The 20,325-nt window shown below is 38.9% G+C and overlaps 2 protein-coding genes across 4 annotated transcripts in view, besides 1 other annotated feature; both read right to left on the bottom strand.

Annotated features, from left to right (window-relative positions):
• Window positions 1–18,036, bottom strand: part of FBXO9 (F-box protein 9) — a 35,876-nt gene extending 17,840 nt beyond the window's left edge. Inside the window, exons 1-7 of one of the 3 annotated variants that reach the window (NM_033481.3) lie at window positions 17,826–18,036; window positions 11,891–11,977; window positions 9,395–9,553; window positions 6,491–6,548; window positions 4,136–4,235; window positions 1,936–2,066; window positions 416–530 (exon numbers count right to left, since the gene is read on the bottom strand). In NM_033481.3, coding sequence (NP_258442.2) covers window positions 416–530; window positions 1,936–2,066; window positions 4,136–4,235; window positions 6,491–6,548; window positions 9,395–9,541 — 551 coding nt within the window. In that variant the 5' untranslated portion in view covers window positions 9,542–9,553; window positions 11,891–11,977; window positions 17,826–18,036. Of the gene's footprint in view, window positions 1–415; window positions 531–1,935; window positions 2,067–4,135; window positions 4,236–6,490; window positions 6,549–9,394; window positions 9,554–11,890; window positions 12,062–17,241; window positions 17,631–17,825 lie in introns of those variants that run through there. The other 2 variants (NM_033480.3, NM_012347.4) reach the window with 2 other exon arrangements.
• Window positions 17,138–17,707: a silencer, noted in NCBI's record as "silent region_17288". NCBI's record gives its function as "represses an Ori minimal core promoter by ATAC-STARR-seq in GM12878 lymphoblastoid cells {active_cell/tissue: GM12878}" and the evidence as "EXISTENCE:reporter gene assay evidence [ECO:0000049][PMID:35858748]".
• LOC128031835 (uncharacterized) lies at window positions 17,361–17,432 on the bottom strand. The gene has a single exon (NM_001414736.1). The coding sequence runs from the start codon at window positions 17,430–17,432 to the stop codon at window positions 17,361–17,363; it is 72 nt and encodes a 23-aa protein (NP_001401665.1).

Raw genomic sequence — 20,325 nt, 5'->3', positions numbered from 1 at the left:
TAGCAAAATTTTCAAAATATAGAATAACTTTTAATGAGCCATAAGAAAATGCTAGTGCTGTTTTAATCTAAACCATTACCACAATGAGTTTACAGTTAGTGTAAAAATGACTTGAATATATTTTTCTAATATAACTCTTTTTCCCAAATCAGTTAAGCTAGCATGTAAACTCTATGGTAGTAGTATGGGTTACTACATCTGTCCTACATATTATTCTATACCCTAGAAACCTAGCATATTCTAGCCTTTAAATTCTAAGTTATTTGAGAAAGTTAAGTACAGCTTAGCAAAACTTGTTTATTCTAAGCTTTAACTCAGAACACCAATCAAGTAATTTTATCAGGATTGGCAAAGGACCATCTTTCTTTTCACCATTGCCTCAGTTGTTTAAAAAACAAAAACAAAAACTTAGTACCTGGCACAGATGTAGAATCCTCTGCACACCAGCGACAACTGCTCCAATGATCTGAGGTCCAAGTCACTAGACACCACCCATCGGAAGATGTACATCAGGACCTCCATTGGCAGCACTGCAAAAGAAAATCATCCTTCAGTGACTCTCCTCTATGTCATTCTATTGTCACAACTACATTCCCAGTACATTTATACCTTCCTAGAAATTTATAATCACACCCTCTGTATTGCTCAGAGCTAAAGCATGAATGTATTTAGCTACTCAATAATAATAATGGTTCTTAACATCAAGACATAAATATCTTTGTTTTTTCAGTATAGATCTGAAGCTACTTTTTATAAAGCACTCTTTTCCCTCATAAGATTATTTTGCCAGACATATTAAAATAAATGTTTTAGGAAAATAATCTATGTGTGTGTGATCCATATTGCATCTATTAACACTAAAGTTATTTTCATCTCCTTGAAAACTTTTAATTGTCCTCCTCTGAAAAAGCCCCGAACCAAACAATATTTAACATATTAAAAATACATGAATTTCTTTTTTTTTTGTGACAGGTTCTTGCTCTGTTGCCCAGGCTGGAGTGCAGTGATACAATCTCAGCTCACTGCAGCCTCTGCCTCCTGGGTTCAAGTAATTCTCGTGCCTCAGCCTCCCAAGTAGGTGGGACTACAGTCATGCGCCACGACGCCCAGCTAATTTTTGTATTTTTAGTAGAGGTGGGGTTTCACCATGTTGGCCAGGCTTATCTTGAACTCCTGGCCTCAAGTGATCCTCCCAACTCAGCCTCCCAAAATGCTGAGATTGCAGGCGTGAGCCACCATGCCCGAACAAAAATCCATTAATTCCTAAACATTCAGTCTGTCTCAGGACAATTGTCCAACATGGCTGAAATGCTTCATGATACCAGTATTCCTCCAGTTTTCTTAGGGCTACCTCAACAACTCAGACTTACCCTGTTAGATCTTTACTGAAAAAGGTATGGCATCCTTAAACAACAGCACTACAAACTGTTCTGCTTCAGATTGTAAAGCAGCTTACTACTGGGCTGGGCGCAGTGCCTCAGAGGCCTGTAATCCCAGCACTTTGGGAGGCCAAGGTGGGCAGATCATGAAGTCAGGAGTTCGAGACCAGCCTGGCCAACATGGTGAAACTCTGTCTTTACTGAAGATACAAAAATTTAGCTGGGTGTGGTGGCACACGCCTGTAATCCCAGCCACTTGGGAGGCTGAGGCAGCAGAATTGCTTGAACCCAGGAGGCAGAGGTTGCAGTGAGCCGAGATTGCACCACTGCACTCCAGCCTGGGTGACAGGGCACGTCTCCATTTCAAAAAACAAAACAAGACAAAACAAAACACAAAACAGCTTAATAGTATATGCAAATGATAATTATAACTAGATCTTCCACCATATTCTGAACTAAAGCAGCAGTTATCTGGCAAATTATCTGACCTTATAAATTTGGAAATCTTTAAGGTTAAGATATTTCTCACTGAGTTATGAAAAACAAGTATTCACACCTGATATGTGAATCTGACTGCTCTCAAGCTCAGGCTGACACAGTTTAAGCACAGACTCCTGAAATGTGAGTTGCTGCTGGAAGTAGGACAAGAGATCTGCCATTTTGCTGTCATCATCATTATCTTCAATGCTGAAAAAAGGGAGGTGAATAAATTAAGTGCCTCAGTCTACAAGCGTACAGTTTAGAAACTGATTTTTCATAGCATTTTCAAATTTGCTTTACAAAAAGTCACCTAAAGCTTATTCAACATGTGATACATTTTTAAATGTGATGAATTTATCCTGTCTTGCAAAGGAATACTGTATCAAGTTTTTCAAAGAAAAAAGCTTCAGTAATTATCATCCAGAAAGAATTAGAATTTTTGGATACAGGTGTTGAGATTTAACTAATTTTATTGTAAAGTAGAGATTTTATGAGTTACTGCAAGCTTTCAAATGGTTTCAAAAATCTTAACGTAGTATGTTCTTTAACCTTAATTTATTCTAACTGGATAAAAACCAAATCTACAGACGTCATCTGAGGTACTTACTTACCAAGGGTTTTCTAACAGATTTGCCTTATCAGCCTACCTTTAGAGAGGAAAATACCTACTTTGAAAACATCTTAGGGTTCACAAATCATCTACCAGTATACACAAATGTGTAGTGAATGGTGCTAGAAAAATGAGCTTTCTATTTTTACTGAAGTAAACCTTAAAGATGATCAGACTTACAAAGAGGATTGGATGAAGGCGAAGTTAGAAAACCAGGAAGTTTCAAGTGATGTAGACTTAAAAAAAACAAAAAAACAAAAAAAAAAACCAGGAAGGGCATTTTGTAATACAACAAAATATAAGTGTGGTTGAGGCTAGATGGACTCAATGGCTATTCTACAAACATGTTACAGGAAAGAAAAAAAAAGGCAAACTTTTAGGGCTTATCAGATCTTATTTAAAAAAAAAAGATGAATCCTTAAAGAACTTTCATAGCGTCTGGGTTTGTATAAAAAATGGGAAAGAAAAGAAATGCCTCTTTAATATTTTAATACAATCTTTCTTAACAGCATCTGGCACATATTTATAAAACTGGCTAAGAGCTGAGTCTAAACGACTCTACCCAAATTTAAAGAAGGTTTAGAAAAAACCCAAGTGATTCATTTTAAGTATGAACTACCTCATACTGTTAACTCTAATTTGGTGAACAATATTATTAGCTGAAAATTTAAACAGGCTATTAATATTGACCTTGTTGGGAATGTTTTTAATATGACTTATCCAAAGCTTAAGTGTTAATACCATATGCAGTTAAAAAACATTGGCAATAAGCATATGTTATCAATAAAGGTGACAATTATTTCATGACAGAGGGAATATATTAATATAATAGCTAATATAATATTTCATTACCAAAACTTTTTTCTCTGTACTGTCTATTTTTAACCTGACATTCTCTCATGGGTACAGACTCCCTTCTCTTCTAATATCAGCAAATTGAGTTTTGGGAGATAGTGCAATTAAGCCAAAACAATTTTATAATTGTCTTGCAAAAGTATTGCCTTAAAAATAAGTTTTCTTGATCTTTATCCATATAAAACCAATGCTACTTCATGGCTTTGATGCAGTGGCAACTATACAATTCAAACATGATTTCTTTTAGGAATATATTCTGCACCTGTGCTTTTAAATAAATGTTAGAGTTTTAATGTTTTACTAAAAACATTAAGAGAATAATAACATCTTTTATAGTTCAGCATTTTCCTAATTAGAAGCCTTTTTTAAAATGTAAAATTTCAAACATATACGTAAGGAAACTAGTGTAATAAACTCCCATGTACCCATCACTCAATTTTAACCATTATTAATATTTTGCCAAATTTAGCCTAATTACATTTTAAAACTTTCTACTTCAAATAGGTTTCAGAAAGTTGAAATGTGTCCTTTAATTTACTCCTTTCAGTAACTACTGCTTTTATTTTTTTAAACCGTTTTTTTGTATCTGTTTATTTTTGTATCTGTTTATTTTTGTATCTGTTTAAAAGGTGCATTTCTATGTGTTATCTTGCAATTTCCCTAATTAAAAAATTTCTACAACTTTATAAACAAAGATATACTAAAGAGTATAGAGCTCAACAGAATTAGCACCATCTTAAGAGTCAACAGGGCAAAGATGCTTAACTTTAACAAACTCTATGCATTACTATCTATCAAATTATATACGCACTAGCTGTTTCCAACGCCATCACCATCTGGAGACCGGGTATAAGTAATCTTGAACTCTATATCAGGTACAAGTTGCATAGCCCTACGATAAAACTTGATGGCTAAAAGAAGAAATAAAGCTAAATTAGCTGTGACCACACATTTTTGTCATTTCCTTTGATTACCCTTAACTGTGGTTTAATTTGGTAACTTTCTTTACAAACGGCCAAATTCTGTTTTTCTACATGCAACAGCAGTTCAGTGACACAAAACTATTTCCAAACCTTAATGCTCAGAAAGAAACTTTTCCCTAAACTTAAGATGTTGTATTTTACTCTTATATATTAGCCCTTCCCATATTTTTCCTCACCCTCTTACGTATCATGATTTTTAAATAGTTGTCTTTCTTTGGGCTCTGAAGATGCAATTGCTATAGCCAACAAAAATACTTCTCTCTTTTTTAAGACAAGGTCTCACTCTGTTGTCCAGGTTGGAGTGCAGTTGGCACGATCTTGGCTCACTGCAGACTCCACCTCCCAGGTCCAAGTGATTCTCCCACCTCAGTCTCCTGAGTAGCTGGGGCTACAGGCATGCCCCAGCCAGCACACTCAGCTAATTTTTAAATTTTTTGTAGAGACAACATCTTGCTATATTGCCCAGGCTGGTCTTGAACTCCTGGGTTCAAGCGATCCTCCCGCCTCAGCCTGCCAAAGTGCTGAGATTAGAGGTGTCAGCTACCATGCCTGGCCAAAAACACTTCTAAGCAAACTTTTCTAAGACACAGAGTTGAGGAAAATTAAATGCTTCCTACTGGGTGGAATAAAGAATAGTTTTTGTTTTTGTTTTTAAATTATCCTTTAAATTTAACTTCTTTTAGCCCAGCTGCCTCTTATTTACCTAAGTAATCTTCAAAACTTATTTTTTACAAATTTCCTAGACAGGTAGTTTAGAGCTGTAATATTCAATAACTCTCCCCACAGAGATACACCAGTAGAACTTGGAGCTGTAGAGGCTGACTAGTTCTTTTTCCCTACAAAGGAGTTTATGATTCAATATATTCTGCCATGTTCTATTATTCTGGATGAATTACACCATACACTAAGTGGAGATGCGAATTTCACAAACCAATGAAGGCTGCACAGGGACTTGATCAACTGGGCCTTTCTAAAAATCTAAAGAAAAATATCACTAGAAGAAACTTGCATATAAATGCAGTAACTCTGAATGATGTTAGTTTTGGGGCATTTTCAAACGATTCAAGCACAAGGATTTTTCCTATGCATCAATTATTATCTTTACTATCACAAAAGGAAAGCATAATTACAAACCTAATATGGCAAATAGTCCTATCACTTTATTTACACATTTCTATTGGGTTAATAAAAGACACAAAGCTGACACATATATTACCACATATTTCTTTTTTTTTTTTTTTTTTTTTTTTTTTTGAGACGGAGTCTCGCTCTGTCGCCCAGGCTGGAGTGCAGTGGCGGGATCTCGGCTCACTGCAAGCTCCGCCTCCCGGGTTCACGCCATTCTCCTGCCTCAGCCTCCCAAGTAGCTGGGACTACAGGCGCCCGCCACTACGCCGGCTAATTTTTTGTATTTTTAGTAGAGACGGGGTTTCACCGTTTTAGCCGGGATGGTCTCGATCTCCTGACCTCGTGATCCGCCCGCCTCGGCCTCCCAAAGTGCTGGGATTACAGGCGTGAGCCACCGCGCCCGGCCATTACCACATATTTCTGTTGGTAATATGTAAATTGGAACTTAGAAAGAAAAACATGTATTTTTTCCTCAATTTATCCTTTATATTCCCATCCTCTGAAGCAATTTTCACCTATAAAAAGAGCATATTTTAAAATGAATAATTTTTAAATACTTTATTAATGAAGAATAACTAAAGCTAAATGTAAAAAAAAGTTATTTTGCTCATCCTACCAACATGATGATGTTTCCCAGCAATATTTTTTTGCAAAAAGACAGGTTATATAGAAAAACAATTTCTATTTTTTATTTTTTAAAAAACAATTTCAAATATAGCTGGCCCTCTGTATTCATGGGTTTCACATTCTCTGATTCAACCAACTACAGATCAAAAATATTTAAAATAAATACAAATTTAAAAAAAAAATACAGTATAATAACTATTTACATAATAAGTAAGTTATATGTAAATATTACACCATTCATATAAAGGACTTGAGCATTTTGGTATCTACAAAGGGTCCTGGAACCAATTTCCAATGAGTACTGAAGGAAGAATGTATTAAGAAAAGTGATGTTCTATACCAAATAAGTTATAGAAAAAAAAATATGGTTAATAACAGAGTCATTATTCAGAAATGTTATGATATGAACCTGGGCTCTGAATTTTTACCTTCATAGAGAGCTCCATTTTGTTCTTCTTCTACTGCTTTTAGGAAGAGTTCTCGAGCCTATAAAAATATAAAGTAAAAATTTTTGAAAACCTGCATTAAAAATTAGTATGGATGGCAGAAGGAGAGCCTTTTTAATAAATTGTGCAAAATAACTGGATATTCATAGGCAAATTAATGAACCTTGACCTAAACCTCATACTTTACATAAAAATTAACTTGACTGGATCATGGACTTAAATGTAAAATCCATAAACCTTTTAGAAGAAAAGAAAACAAAGAAAATCTTGGAGACCTAGGACTAGGCAAAGAGTTCTTGACACCAAAAGCACCATTCACAAAAGGAAAAACTGATAAACTGGACCTTGTCAAAATTAAAAATTTTTGCTCTGTGAAATGCCCTGTTAAGAGGATGAAAATATTTACAAGCCACATATTCAATAAAAGACTTGCATCTAGAATAAAGAACTTCCAAAACACAACATCAAAAATATTAGCATCTGGCTGGGCGCGGTGGCTCACGCCTGTAATCCCAGCACTTTGGGAGGCTGAGGTCGGCAGATCACCTGAGGCCAGGAGTTCGACACTGGCCTGGCCAACAAGATGAAACCCCATCTGTACTAAAAATACAAAAATTAGCCGGTTGTGGTGGCACACGTCTACAGTCTCAGCTACTCTGGAGGCTGAGGCAGGAGAATCAGTTGAACCTGGGAGGCAGAGCTTGCTGTGAGCTGAGATCGTGCCACAGCACTCCAGCCTGGGGTGACACAGTGACACTCCATCTCAAAAAAAAAAAAAAAAAAAAAAATAATTATATATATATATGTAATCCAATTAGAAAAGACATCAACAGATATTTCAGAGAGAGAATATATATTAATAGATGAAAAATAAGCACATGAAAAGATGTTCAACATCACAAGCCATTAGAGAAATGCAAATTAAAATGACAATGAGATACCACTACATACCTATCAGAATGGCTATTAATAAAATTAAAGGCCAGGTGCAGTGGCTCACTCCTGTAATCCCAGCACTTTGGGAGGCTGAAGCAGGTAGACTGCTTGAGGTCAGGAGTTCGAGACAAGCCTGACCAACATGGTGAAACCCCAGGCTCCCAAAGTGCTGGGATTACAGAAGTGAGCCACCGCACCCAGCTAGATTGCTAATATTTTTAATATTGTGTTTTGGAAGTTCTTTTTGCATTCTAGATACAAAATACAAATTTGTAAAAATACAAAAATTAGCCCAGCGTTACTGACGGGGCCTGTAATCCCAGCTATTTGGGAGGCCAAGGCACGAGAATCGCTTGAACCCGGGAGGCAGAGGTTGCAGTGAGCTGGAATCACACCACTGCACTCCAGCCTGGGCGACAAAGTGAGACTCTGTCTTAAAATAAATAAATAAATTAATTAAATTAAATTAAAAAGTAGCAACACTAAATGCTGATGAGGATGAACTGGATCACTCATACATTGCTGGTGGGAACTTAATATAAGATACTCTAGAAAACACTTTGGCAGTTTCTTTTAAAATCAAACATGTACTTACTATAGAACTTAGCAATTGTACTCTTGGGGTTTCATCCCAGAGAAGTGAAAATTATGTTCATGAGAAAACCTACACACATATTTCCATAGCTCCATTCATAACAGCCAAATATTGGAAACAACTCAAATGTCCTTCAACCAATAAATGGTTAAACTGGGGTACATCCATACCATGCAATACTATTCTGCAATAAAAAGGAACAAACTACTGATACATAGTAACTTGGACTGATCTTGAGGGAATTATACTTAGTGAAAAAAGCCAATCTCAAAAGGTTACATACTGGATGATTCCACTTATACAACATTCTTGGAATATCAAAATTACAAAATGGAGAACAGACTAGTGGTTGCCAGTGGTTACGAATGGCTAGGGAAAGGGAGTATATAACTATAAAACAGTTCTGTATCTTGATTGTGGTGGTGGTTACATGAAGCTACCTTGTAATAAAACTGCAAACAACTATTTATACACATACACACAGACAAGTGCTTGTAAACTCAGGAAATCCAAGTAAACTGTGGATTGTTCCAATGTCTATTTCCTCGTTTTTGATATTGTACTATAGTTATGCAAGTTGTTACCATCGGAGGAGGTTAAAGGGCACACAGGACTTCCCTATACCTGTGGACCTGTAATTATTTCAAAATAAAAATTAAGAGGAGATAGAAGGTAAGTCATCATGGTAATGCCAATTATTTGATGACTAATTATAAACACAAACTTGGATCTGATGGTAAAAAGATGGCAGCCTCTATGGAAGAAGAATAAGAAATGAAATGGTATGCTGTGCCTACTCTGTGTGAGTAAGTACCAGAAGAGATATGAATGTTAGACAGCATTCAAAATATTTTCAGTGTGAAAATATTTCAAAATTTTCCAGAATAAGGAAATGATTAATGCATTATTGTAAGCTGATCAATTCAAAATATAACAAAATACTGCATGAAATTAAGACCTCTGGAAAGACATTAACATGTGAGCAATCTTTTTGGTTCTATTAATAAATTTAGAAAATTCTGTTTTTTCTTTTTGGTTCTGTTAATAAATTCAGAGACACCAATCTTTTAGGAACCACATGAATCCCAGAGGTCTATAAATTAACAAAAGACAGCTCAATGAAGACAGTGTACCCACAGAGAAAAAAGCCATGCAGGAGTAGTGGTACCATCCAAAGTACCTAGAAGAAATTGTGAGAAATATATAAACTAGTATACTAGTCAAAATTTTTATTTTACAAGATATGTGTTTATGTCCCGAAAGTCTGGTTATAATGCCTACTTACTGTGTCAGTGAAAATTTCCATGTGCCAAAAAAAAAAAAATGTAATTTGTTACAATATCTATAATACTTAACTTTTCTTCTTTTGCCTGTTCTTGTTTTCCTTTGGTATCTGCCGATGTTTTCTGGAGAGAGCCTCTTGCTGCTCTGCAAGGTCGATTTTCTAAATTGCTAGAGCTTACACCTGGAGCAAGTTCAAACATCCACTGAGCTCGGAACATCTGGAGTTGTGCCTATGGGGAGAACAGCATTTTAGGACTCATCAAGGAAGGGTAGCTCAACTCTGGAACAATGTATCAATATGTCCAACATCTATCTACTTCCACGTATATACTTATTACTCTAAGTCCAGAAATCACTGTCTTCTGAATTATTAAATATCCATTAAATACATCTTTTAAAATAATTTTCTGCTCAAAACTTAAAGAATCAAGAAAATTAGCATAAAATACATGTCAGTACACCAAAAGTCAAATTATATTGGAAAACCAAATTTTAATTAGAATTGAAAATATAAGCCATCACTTACAGACTGAAGTTATAAGCTTCCAATAATTTTTTAATGACTATATCATCTAGTAGACATTAAGAATGCTGCCAAAAATTCTGTAGGTAAGCCCAAAATCTATTAACATTCTGTATTTCAAAAAGAAAATGTTTTTTCAAATATTTGTTATTTCAAAAATGTAAAGGCCAGGCACAGAGGCTCATGCCTATAATCCCAGCACTTTGGGAGGCCGAGGCAGACGGATCACCTGAGGTCAGGAGTTCGAGAACAGCCCGGCCAACATGGTGAAACCCTGTCTCTACTAAAAATACAAACAAATTAGCCAGGTGTGGTGGCGGGCACCTGTAATCCCAGCTACTTGGGAGGCTGAGCCATGAGAATTGCTTGAACTCGGGTGGCAGAGGTTGGCAGTCAGCAGAGATCGTGCTACTGCACTCCAGCCTGGGCAATGGAGCGAGACTCCATCTCAAAAAAAAAAAAAATTAAAAGCACATAAAAAGTGAACCCTATAAGGTAGACTCTGGTGTGTTGCCCAGATTCCCTTTCAGAAATAAAGAACTTGTTACCCAAACTGCTGAGAGTTCTATCTGAAAACACTTGAGTTGTCAGCCCTTTTGGGTATTGCCTCAGCAAAATCACACTGTCCTCTCAATCCCCACCCAATGACTGATCAACGGCTAATAAAGTCTTGGCTCTTTGCAACTCAGGTCATCTCTGAAAGGGTATTTCATCTTCAGAACTCCCTCGAGGATGGCTAAGCAGTCCATTAAGACTGCATTGCAGCTGGTCTTCTCCCTGCCCATTTGTTTCCCTCTCTCCCTTCCATAGGTGTTGATCCCAAGAATACTCCTTAATAAACTTCCTGCACAGCAATCTTCACCTAGTCTGCTTCCTGGGGAACCCAAACTGGGTTACACGTTCTGCCCAAAGGCAGCCATTGCTAACAGGGATGCATATGTTATTCCTGGCTTCCTTTTTTTTTTTTAAAAAAAGACGTATCTAGAATGTTTTAAATTAATTTTTCTCTATATTCTGTACACTGCTTTGTTGCTACGCTTTTAACCTGTTACACATAGATCTCTGACCTGCAGAATCTTTAGCAGCATTCAATGTCTACTAGATGAGCTGTTCCAAATAATTATTATTAACCTTACAAGTGCAGTGAGACACACTTAACTAGTTACAGCAACTTTTTTTCTCTTTTAATGTATAAAGATTTACTTCATCCTTTTAAATGGCTGTAGTGTTTTCACTGTATGGATGCATCATTACTTAATAACAGGTAATGAATATTTAAGTTGTATGATGTTTTTCCAGATAAACAATGCTATACTAAACATCTTTATAGTTGCATATTTACTTTCCCCACTATTTCCTTAAAATTAATTTCCTGGAAGTAGAATTGCTGTATCAAGGGAATGCATGTTTTTCATTTTGATCCATATCACCAGTCTGCCCTCCAGAAAGCTGTACCAATTTACATTTTCATGTACACTGCATGAGTGTTCTCACAGCTTGGACAGCGATGCACATTATTCACCAATCTGATTAAATTATTAATGAGGCTAATTATCTCTTCAAATATTTAATGGCCATTTGTATTATTTTGCCATTAACAGTCCACTCATATCTTTTTATCCTCTGTTCTTCCAAATATATGAGTGCTCTATGTAATGAGATGAATCCTCTGCCCATATATAATAAACAGTTTTTCCAGCTGGCTATTTCTCTTAACTTTATTTATGATGCCTTTTCTTATACACAGGTTTTAAACTTTTAGGTGGTCAAACCCATCAATCTTTTTAAGATTATGGGTTTTGAGTCATGCGTAAGCCTTAGTTTGAATACTTTAAACCCATGTTAAACTACAAGCAACCATTATTGATATTTCTTTTCACAAAGAAAGCCATAACATAGTTTTAAGTATTCTATAAACCAGTATGGAAACAGTTAAATTCCATGCAAACAGTAATAACCTACAAATACCCATGATTATGATCAATTTCTGCATATGTATGGGAACAATGGAATAAAAATCAAAGACACAATTGAAGAAACATGCCTGCAGATCTGTTTCAGCAGGACTTTCATTTTCTTCATCATCATCTGCTCTGACAGTATCAGAATGACAATCTTCCTCAGCTTCTGCCTGAGGGGGGAAAACCCAAATAATGTCAGGCATATAAACACACCAGTTGCCCTCTGCAATCTACATTTCTCATTCAGCCACTTTCTATTTAGTACCATACTGTCAACACTTTGTGGAACCCACTTTGAGTAGCAAGGCTGTAGGGGGCACTTGAGACCTTACTATTAATTTCCAAAGGAAAATGAGTCTGAAAAGCATATTCTCTACTCCAACCCACAGTACTCACGTTATTGTGAATCCTAACATTTCCCCCCCGCCAAATTTAACATCAGTTGCATCCATCCAAAAATCAATTTAATTACAGTTGTCCCTCAGTATCCACAGGTGATTAGTTCCAGGAGCCCCCAGGACACCAAAATCCCTGGGTTTTCCAGTCCCTCATATGGCATATTTGCATATAACCTATGCACATCTTCTCATATACTTTAAGTCATCTCTAGGTTACTTATAATGTAAATGCCATGTAAATAGTTCTTGTAGTATATTTTTCCTAATTTGTATTATTTTTTATTGTTGTATTGCTTTTTTTCCCCCAAATATTTTTGATCCACAGTTGAATCCCAGGATGCAGAACCTGCAGGTACAGAGGGCCAACTGTGTAATATAAAGTAACAATTCAAGTCTATTACTATTCATAAATGATTTATGATTAATCTAATTAGGTAAATGAAGCCAAATTCTTCATTAATATACATAACTACTGATAATCTATAATAAAAATTATTTTCTCTTTTTCTGGCCAGGTGCGGTGGCTCACACCTGTAATCCCCACACTTTGTGAGGCTGAGGCAGGAGCATCACTTGAGGTCAGGAGTTCAAGACCAGCCTAGCCAACATAGTGAAACCCCATCTCTACTAAAAATACAAAAAATCAGCCAGGCGTGGTGGTACACGCCTGTGGTCCCAGCTAATTGGGAGGCTGAGGTGGGAGGGTTGCTTGAGCCTGAGAGATGGAGGTTGCAGTGAGCCGAGACTGCACCATTGCACTCCAGCCTGGATGACAGAGACCCCATCATAAAAAAAAAAAAAAAAAAAAAAAGGAAAAAAGAAAAGAAAAATATTATTCTTCTTAGAAAAAAATGAAATAAAATTAGAACATCTTTGGTATTTTTTTAGTTCTACAAGACTTTAAAACTTTTTATGAGAAAAACACTTAAAGAGAATTAATCCCTAAGTACTCATGACCCAACTTCAATAATTATCAATGTAATTCCTTAGATCAAATATCAAGTCACAGTATTCATATTTCTCAAGATGTCATATGTAAAATACATATATTTCACAGTTTGTGAAATCAAGATTCAAATAAAGTCCACATTGTAATTGCTTGATATGTCTCAAGTCTTTTGTAATCCTCACTCTTTTTTCTTGTAATTTATTTGGGATGAAACTGGGTCGTTTTTCTGTAGAAGCTAGATTTTGCTGAGGTGTCAATAAATATGTTCCTTTGACCTCTTACTCTTATTTCCTATAAATTGTGGCAGGATCTTGAAAGGCTAGATTAGATTCTGCTATTTCTTTTTTCTTTTGCAAGACTGCCTCATAGGTCATGTTGTATTTTCCATCAGGAGGAGAAATGTTCTAGAATGCAGTTGACAAGGTGCTGTGACAGATGTTCCAAACATAATTGAGTCTAAGGCAAAAAGCCCAAATAATTTTAGTGTCCATAAACTTCTACAAGTCCCAAAACAGAAAATACTCTAATGTTTCATGTTAATGAAATACAACATTGCTTCTTTATAGTTATCTTCTTCACAGGTAAGTTTAATGATACCAATCAGATATAACTTGATACTTGAATTTTTTTTGATACTGTAGAATAAACAAATCCACTGGGTTCTAGGTTAAAATGTATTGTTAGGTGGCTAAAAATAACAACTTTGTTTCAGAAAATAGTAACATTTAGTTGTCCTATGGAGTTCAGCAAATAGTTATTGCTTTCTTGGGACAGAGTCTCCTTATGCAGCCCAGGATGGCCTCAAACTCCTGAGCTCCAAAGATCCTTCTGCTCCACCTCTTGAGTAGCTGAGACTACAGGCTTGTGCAGCCATACCTGGCTGTAGCAGATAGTTTTTGCTTCATGGATCACTTAAGAGAATACAGTCCAGGCAGGGTGTGGTGGCTCATGCCTGTAATCCCAACACTTTGGAAGGCTGAGGTGGAAGGACTGCTTGAGCCCAGGAGTTTGAGACAAGGCTGGGCAACATGGCAAGACCCCGTCTCTACAAAAAATACAAAAATTACCAGGGGGTGGTGGTACACAGTAGCCCCAGCTACTCGGGAGGCTGAGGTGAGAGGATTGCTTGAGCCTGGGAGATGCAGGTTGCAGTGAGCCGAGACTGCACCACTGCTCTCCAACCCAGGAGACAGAGAGAGACCCTGTCTCAAAAAAAAAAAAAAAACACATATATATATATATTCCGTAAGATGATGTCACTTCTTTTATACAGCTAGCATGTTATTAAATGTGTTCTATGAAAATATGACTTCTGTGTATTTTATATGTACTAGGAAAGCTTAGTCAAAGACTTTTAATAGTAAATGCTTTTGTAAAGAAACCCCTTCTATTTTATCTGTCTATAAATCCAATTTTTATATATTGGATCGGCTTCAGTGGAATAAAGCTAGACTGGAATTACTGTGTGTGACTTGGAGCCTAATAAAGGTTTCAATCAGATGACTTTAATTTTATCCTTTTATTCTCAATAAATGTTTGCTAAATTAAACTAAATCCTACCTTCCAGTGAAAATGGCATGTTGCCTCAGTTCAGTCTGTTAGCTAATAGATTTATTAGGAAATGAAACTTGCTCAACACTTACTGTAAAGAAATGTGGCAATCAGGGAAATGGCCTTCAAGGTAAGCTAGATAATAATAAAACCCATTTAATTTTACTGGTTCCAAAGATGGTAAGTTTTACAATTGCAAATTTTAGTCATATGTTATTTCAGGGCGGCCAGGGGGGGGAGGGTAATGTTTATATTAACACACATCTTTAACACAGCTACCAGATATACTTGCACTATATTACAGAACATAAATTAGCCTTGCCTCCTATCTTATCTCTGGCAAGCAGACTCAAAGCAGAGGTGCCTTTCAGACTTGAACCAGTTAGTATATGGTAAAATGCTGGGCACACTGTAAAGCACACATCTGTGAAGAAATAAATGAGATCAAGAACTCAGATGAATTTCTAGAAAAATGGAAAATTTAAGGATTAATGTATTGTCAAATACATTATTTTTTAGTTTCTTTAAGTTGGGAGCTTTTCCTACTAAGAACACCATTAGTAGGAAAATATGTAATGAAAGACTGAGCGTATAAATCCCACTGAGAAGTGTATTTCTCTCTCTTCTCAAGAGTCTGCTTTATTATTGCAAACTCTAAGTACAGGTAATGCGAGGGGACCTGAGTTCTGTGGGGTATCCTTTGTAATTTAGTTTTCTAACTCTTGCCTAGCAGTCATTCTAAACTGACTTCAAGAGCTTCCCCTGCTCTGTCCAGTTGGCTTGCATACGCTGCTTGCTCTATCTGGAATGCCTTCTTCCTCACTTAGCTATTTCTACTCATTCTTCAAGATTCAGCTCAGGGTTCATCTTAGTCAGAAGCATTTTTCAACATTTTTGTGTTCCCATAACACTTGTGCTTACTTTTATCACAACATTTGTACTGAGGTTGGCTGTTTCATTTACTAGATTTAAGGCATCCAGGACAGGAACACATCTCAGTTACCTCTGTAACCATAAGGTCAAACACATTGCTTGATTTGTAGTAAAGGCCTGTCTAGGCCTCAGCTGTCATGTCTATGGGACATCTATAAAGAGGTATGGTGATCTACTGAGGTCCCTTTTCATGTGACATTCTGTGATTAAAAGTTTATCATAAATCACCTTGCAGGTTTGGTTATATTGAAGATCTAGTATTGTACCAGAGTCTCACACTATGCCAGGCTAATAGGTACTCAAAAATATTGGCTGAATCGACAAATAAAATGCCATCTGGATAATGTGTATCTGAAGGATGAGGAAAGGAAATGGGAGAAGTGTAATATAGACAGCATCTTTCTTCTCCCCTGTGTTACAGTGGAGCTCTAAACCATTCTTACTTTGATTTTGACAGTATGATCACAAAAACAAACTATTATATCTGGGATCGGCTGAGTTGACATTTGGTCAATTCAACTACTACTTGAAATAAGTAGGGCCTCAGATGCCACCTGGAGGTTTTCCTTTTATTTTTCATAATCGAGTTTGACCTAAATATCACCTTCACTTGAATAGCTCATGTGTATGAGTAGTCCATGTCTTCATCATGTTACTCCTGTTTCACAGGTGCGATTAATAAATTATAAAGGCTAAGTACTTAATCCCGGTCAGAGAACTACTTCTGAAAGTTTAGGGGCAGGGGCAATTGCCTTTTCTATCCTCCAGATTAATTTAATAAAAATAAATTCAGCCATTCATTTATGCAATAAATATTTGAGTCCACTATAAATTAAATCGTTTGGAATTATTGCATCCCTGATTCTTTAAGCCCCAGCCAGAGATTAGTTTCTCAGATGAACAATTTATTCTAAACCAAAGAAAGGCATAGGGCAGAGACTACGTATTCCAATATGGAACAGTCTCATGGAATCTGCACTGTCAAGCTCTGCAACTTAGCTCAGTCTCTCATTTGGACGGCACCGACGCCGCGGAGACGAACCCTCCAACCCCACTCCGCCAGGACCGCCTGCCAACATCCTCCCAGGGAATGACGCCTCGCGGGGCAGATGCGTCCTACACCCAGGGCTCCTCAAGGTGCCGGCAGGGACTGTCGGTGGGCCTGGCTTTTCCGCAGAAGAGCAATCAACAAGTGTCTCCTCTTGCCAGAGCTCCCTCCCGAATTCAGGCGCTGTGACAGCTTACCTCAATCTATGCTCAATGCTTCTGATAAAATCCCTTGAGAGGACCGAGACTGGTTCAATATACTCAGTGAGCCGAGAAGGGACATTTTCCCCGGCTGTCCTGCAAACCCTCCTCCTCACATCGAGCTCGGCGGGGGTTGGGGAGGCTCAGCAGGAAGGAATCCTGGGGAGAAGCCAGGGTTGGCACCCCCCGCCCCCCGACGCACTCCTTCTCAGGCCAGGGCCCTCTAACGGGTGGCAGCCGTGAAGCTCCCACTCCTCCCCAGAGTCCCCGCCGACCCCCAGCCCTAGGCCCGGCCCCTCTGCACACCACGCTCCCGCCCCGCGGCGTCCACCCTCGAGCCCCCTGGCCAGGTTACCATGCTGGCGGGGCGGCCTGCTGCGCTCGAGGGGCTCTCCGTGCCCCCTCTGCACCGCCCCCCGGAGGAGGGGTGCTGGGTGTCCGGGTGTCTACTCCTGCCTGTCTCTGCAGCGGAGCTTAGCAGAGTTCTCGGTCGGAGAAGCGCACCAGGCAGCGGCAATAACTGCGGGCCCGGCGTACGGCAGCCATCTTCGCGGGGCAGGGGGCCAGATCGGGGCGCGCTGGGGTGGCGGCGGCTGCCGGGGACTCGGGGAGTGGAGGGACGCCCGTTGCCAGCCGAGGCGGGGGATTGTGCGAGCACCGGAGCGTCAGCCCTACTGGAGACCCCGGACGCCGCCGCGGAGCTGCCCCCTCAGCTGCGGAAACCTGCGCCGACGCGCCGAGCATGCGCAGTGCCGGTGCTGCCCGTGTGGGCGGCCCGGCCACCCATCCCCGCGGGCTGCCTAGTGGAGGGCTAAGGGTCGCGGACCTACTGTGTGCGCGCGCCTGACGCGGGGGGTGAGGCTGCCCGGGTGCCGAACCTCAAGCCCAACCCGCGTGTTGGGCTGAGTGAACACTTAAGCGAACTTGAACAAGCATTACCTCAAAAATTTTTACAACCCAAATTTAGGGGTGGGCCCTTAAAGCAAGCCGCCCTGAGAAGCATCGAACTGGACGCTTGGGACAGTCGCTACAAAGTCCTCGGAGCCTCTGGCTAGAGTCCCGCGCCAGGAATGCAGGAAAACAGTGAAATTTCTCAACAGTCACAGTTGTTATAACGACTAAAGTTTTTGAGAGCACAGACAGACTGGAGATTGAGGAAAAGACGCGCTTTGGCGCCCAGCAGGAGGAAAGAGCCAACGCAAGGCATGTCTCACTACAGATCCCATAATGCAGTGCGAAAAGGGCTTGCGATTCCATGGCCCTGAAACCCAAGTGCCGTGGAGACGGCGCCCGCGAGGCACTCTGGGATTTGTAGTCGGCCGCTCAGGTTTGAGCACCGGAACTTACACTTGGTCCTCGGCCCCACCTCTTAAAGCCCAAACTACCTGATTTCTTCTTGAGTGAATGTACTTGTTCATAAGGTGATACTTTGCTTTTACACAATTTAAATCTTTTTAACTACGGGTTTGCCTGTTTTGTGAAAACTGATAGGCTTCATAGCCTATAACTTTAATTTAGCAAACATTTACTGAGTTTTTAAAGTTTCTAGTGGTGCCAGGGACTAATAGGCTTCCAAACATTCAACGAGTTTACAGAGTTTAAATTTCTAATCCATTCTATTCTGGAGAGATTAAAAATGCAGTATATCCGCTGGGCGCGGTGGCCCACGCCTGTAATCCCAACACTTTGGGAGGCCGAGGCGGGTGGCTCACGAGGTCAAGAGTTCGAGACCAGCCTCACCAACATGGTGAAACCCCGTCTCTACTAAGAATACAAAAATTAGTTGGGCTTGGTGGCGCGCTCCTGTAATACCAGTTACTCAGGAGGCTGAGGCAGGAGAATCGCTTGAAACCGGGAGGCAGAGGTTGCAGTGTTCGCGCCACTGCACTACAGCGTGGGCGACAGAGTGAGACTCCGTCTCAAAAAAAAAAAAAATTGTAGTACATCTTTGGCACAGAAATGGAGGTGAAAGTGCTGAGGGAGGGGAGAGAGCGAGAGAGTGAAGGGGAGAGAGAACGAGCTACAATAAGGAAGTCCAAATGCCGTGTTTTGTTTTGCTGAGACAGAGTCTCGCTGTAGCCCAGGCTGGATTGCAGTGGCGCCATCTCGGCTAACTGTAACCTCCGCCTCCCGGGTTCAAGGAATTCTCCTGCCTCAGCCTCCTGAGTAACTGGGATTACAGCGAGCGCCCCCAAGCCCAGCTAATTCTTGTATTTTTAGTACAGACGGGGTTTCACCATGTTGGTGAGGCTGGTCTCGAACTCCTGACCTCGTGATCCGCCCGCCTCGGCCTCCCAAAGTGCTGGGATTACAGGCGTGAGCCACTGCGCCCGGCCTGCCATGTTTTAATATTGGGATCCACCCTTCGGATGCGTGTGTTTTTATTTGCACCCTAAGTCAGCTACCTATAAAAAATGCCTTACTGTTTAAAAGAGGCCAAAAATTTAAATTTTTTGTTTTAAAGGAGACTCTAGGGCTTAAGTCTTTTTAAGGATAAATTTCCTCCCAATGAACTCCTTAAAATTGAATTTTGAAATTTAAATTGGGGGGAAAGGTTAAATCTAAGATTTATAATAGAATAAAATGATAAATGTGACTCTTACATACTGAGAATGAAGTATTGAAATAGTTTGGGAACAAATCTGTTTCATTTAAAATGTTGAGTGCTAGTTTAAAATAGCCTGGTCAATTACACAGATGGTTTCTTTTATTCTAGCAAGTAATTAAAGCTTAATAAAATAATATTTGTAAAGATAAATTGAGCATTAAAATACTGTTATGCTTCATAGCTACTAATTTTCTATTTTCAGTCAGTTCCACAGTATCCACTAGACCTCATTACAAGGTTATATTCTCATATTATATTTACAGGATTATAATTTCCTGAGGCCAAAACTACTGATCTAGGCTACTTACTAGCCTAGCAGACTCTTGCTAAAAGGTAGACCAAGACAGTACCTTTGTTTGCCAGGTAGACCTGCTTGGACAATTTGACTAAAACTGATCATTTTACTTTAGAAATTGCTTTTCATGGGAGTAGTATATGACTTGTTAGATTCCTTGTCGTGTCTCTATCTTTTCACTGATAATGATTTTCAGTTTTCATTTGCCATATGGGCTGGCTGTTAAATAGGTAAACACAAAGGTAGATATCAATGTTATACATATGTCAAGTGGCCAGATGACCTTTTTCCATTTGGGAGAGGAAATCTAAAGAAGCTTGACTGTCTTATATCTTGCATGTTTCTTCCACAAGATCAAGAGGAGAGAAGGATTCAGGTCTTGGTATAGATTTTTTCAGTAAAAAACAATCTTCAGTCTGTAGAATTCAAAAATAAAAATAGTGAGAAAAAAACTGATATGATCAGCTGGGAATTGTAAACTCAGAGAACAGTCCACAAAGTGTCAAAGGGTTACTGCTTTATTAATTAAATTTGTG

The sequence above is a fragment of the Homo sapiens genome, chromosome 6, assembly GCF_000001405.40.
Source record: "Homo sapiens chromosome 6, GRCh38.p14 Primary Assembly".
NCBI lineage: Eukaryota > Metazoa > Chordata > Mammalia > Primates > Hominidae > Homo > Homo sapiens.
The sequence above is the reverse complement of the archived record's forward strand: the minus strand, read 5'-3'. Positions and strand labels throughout refer to the sequence as shown.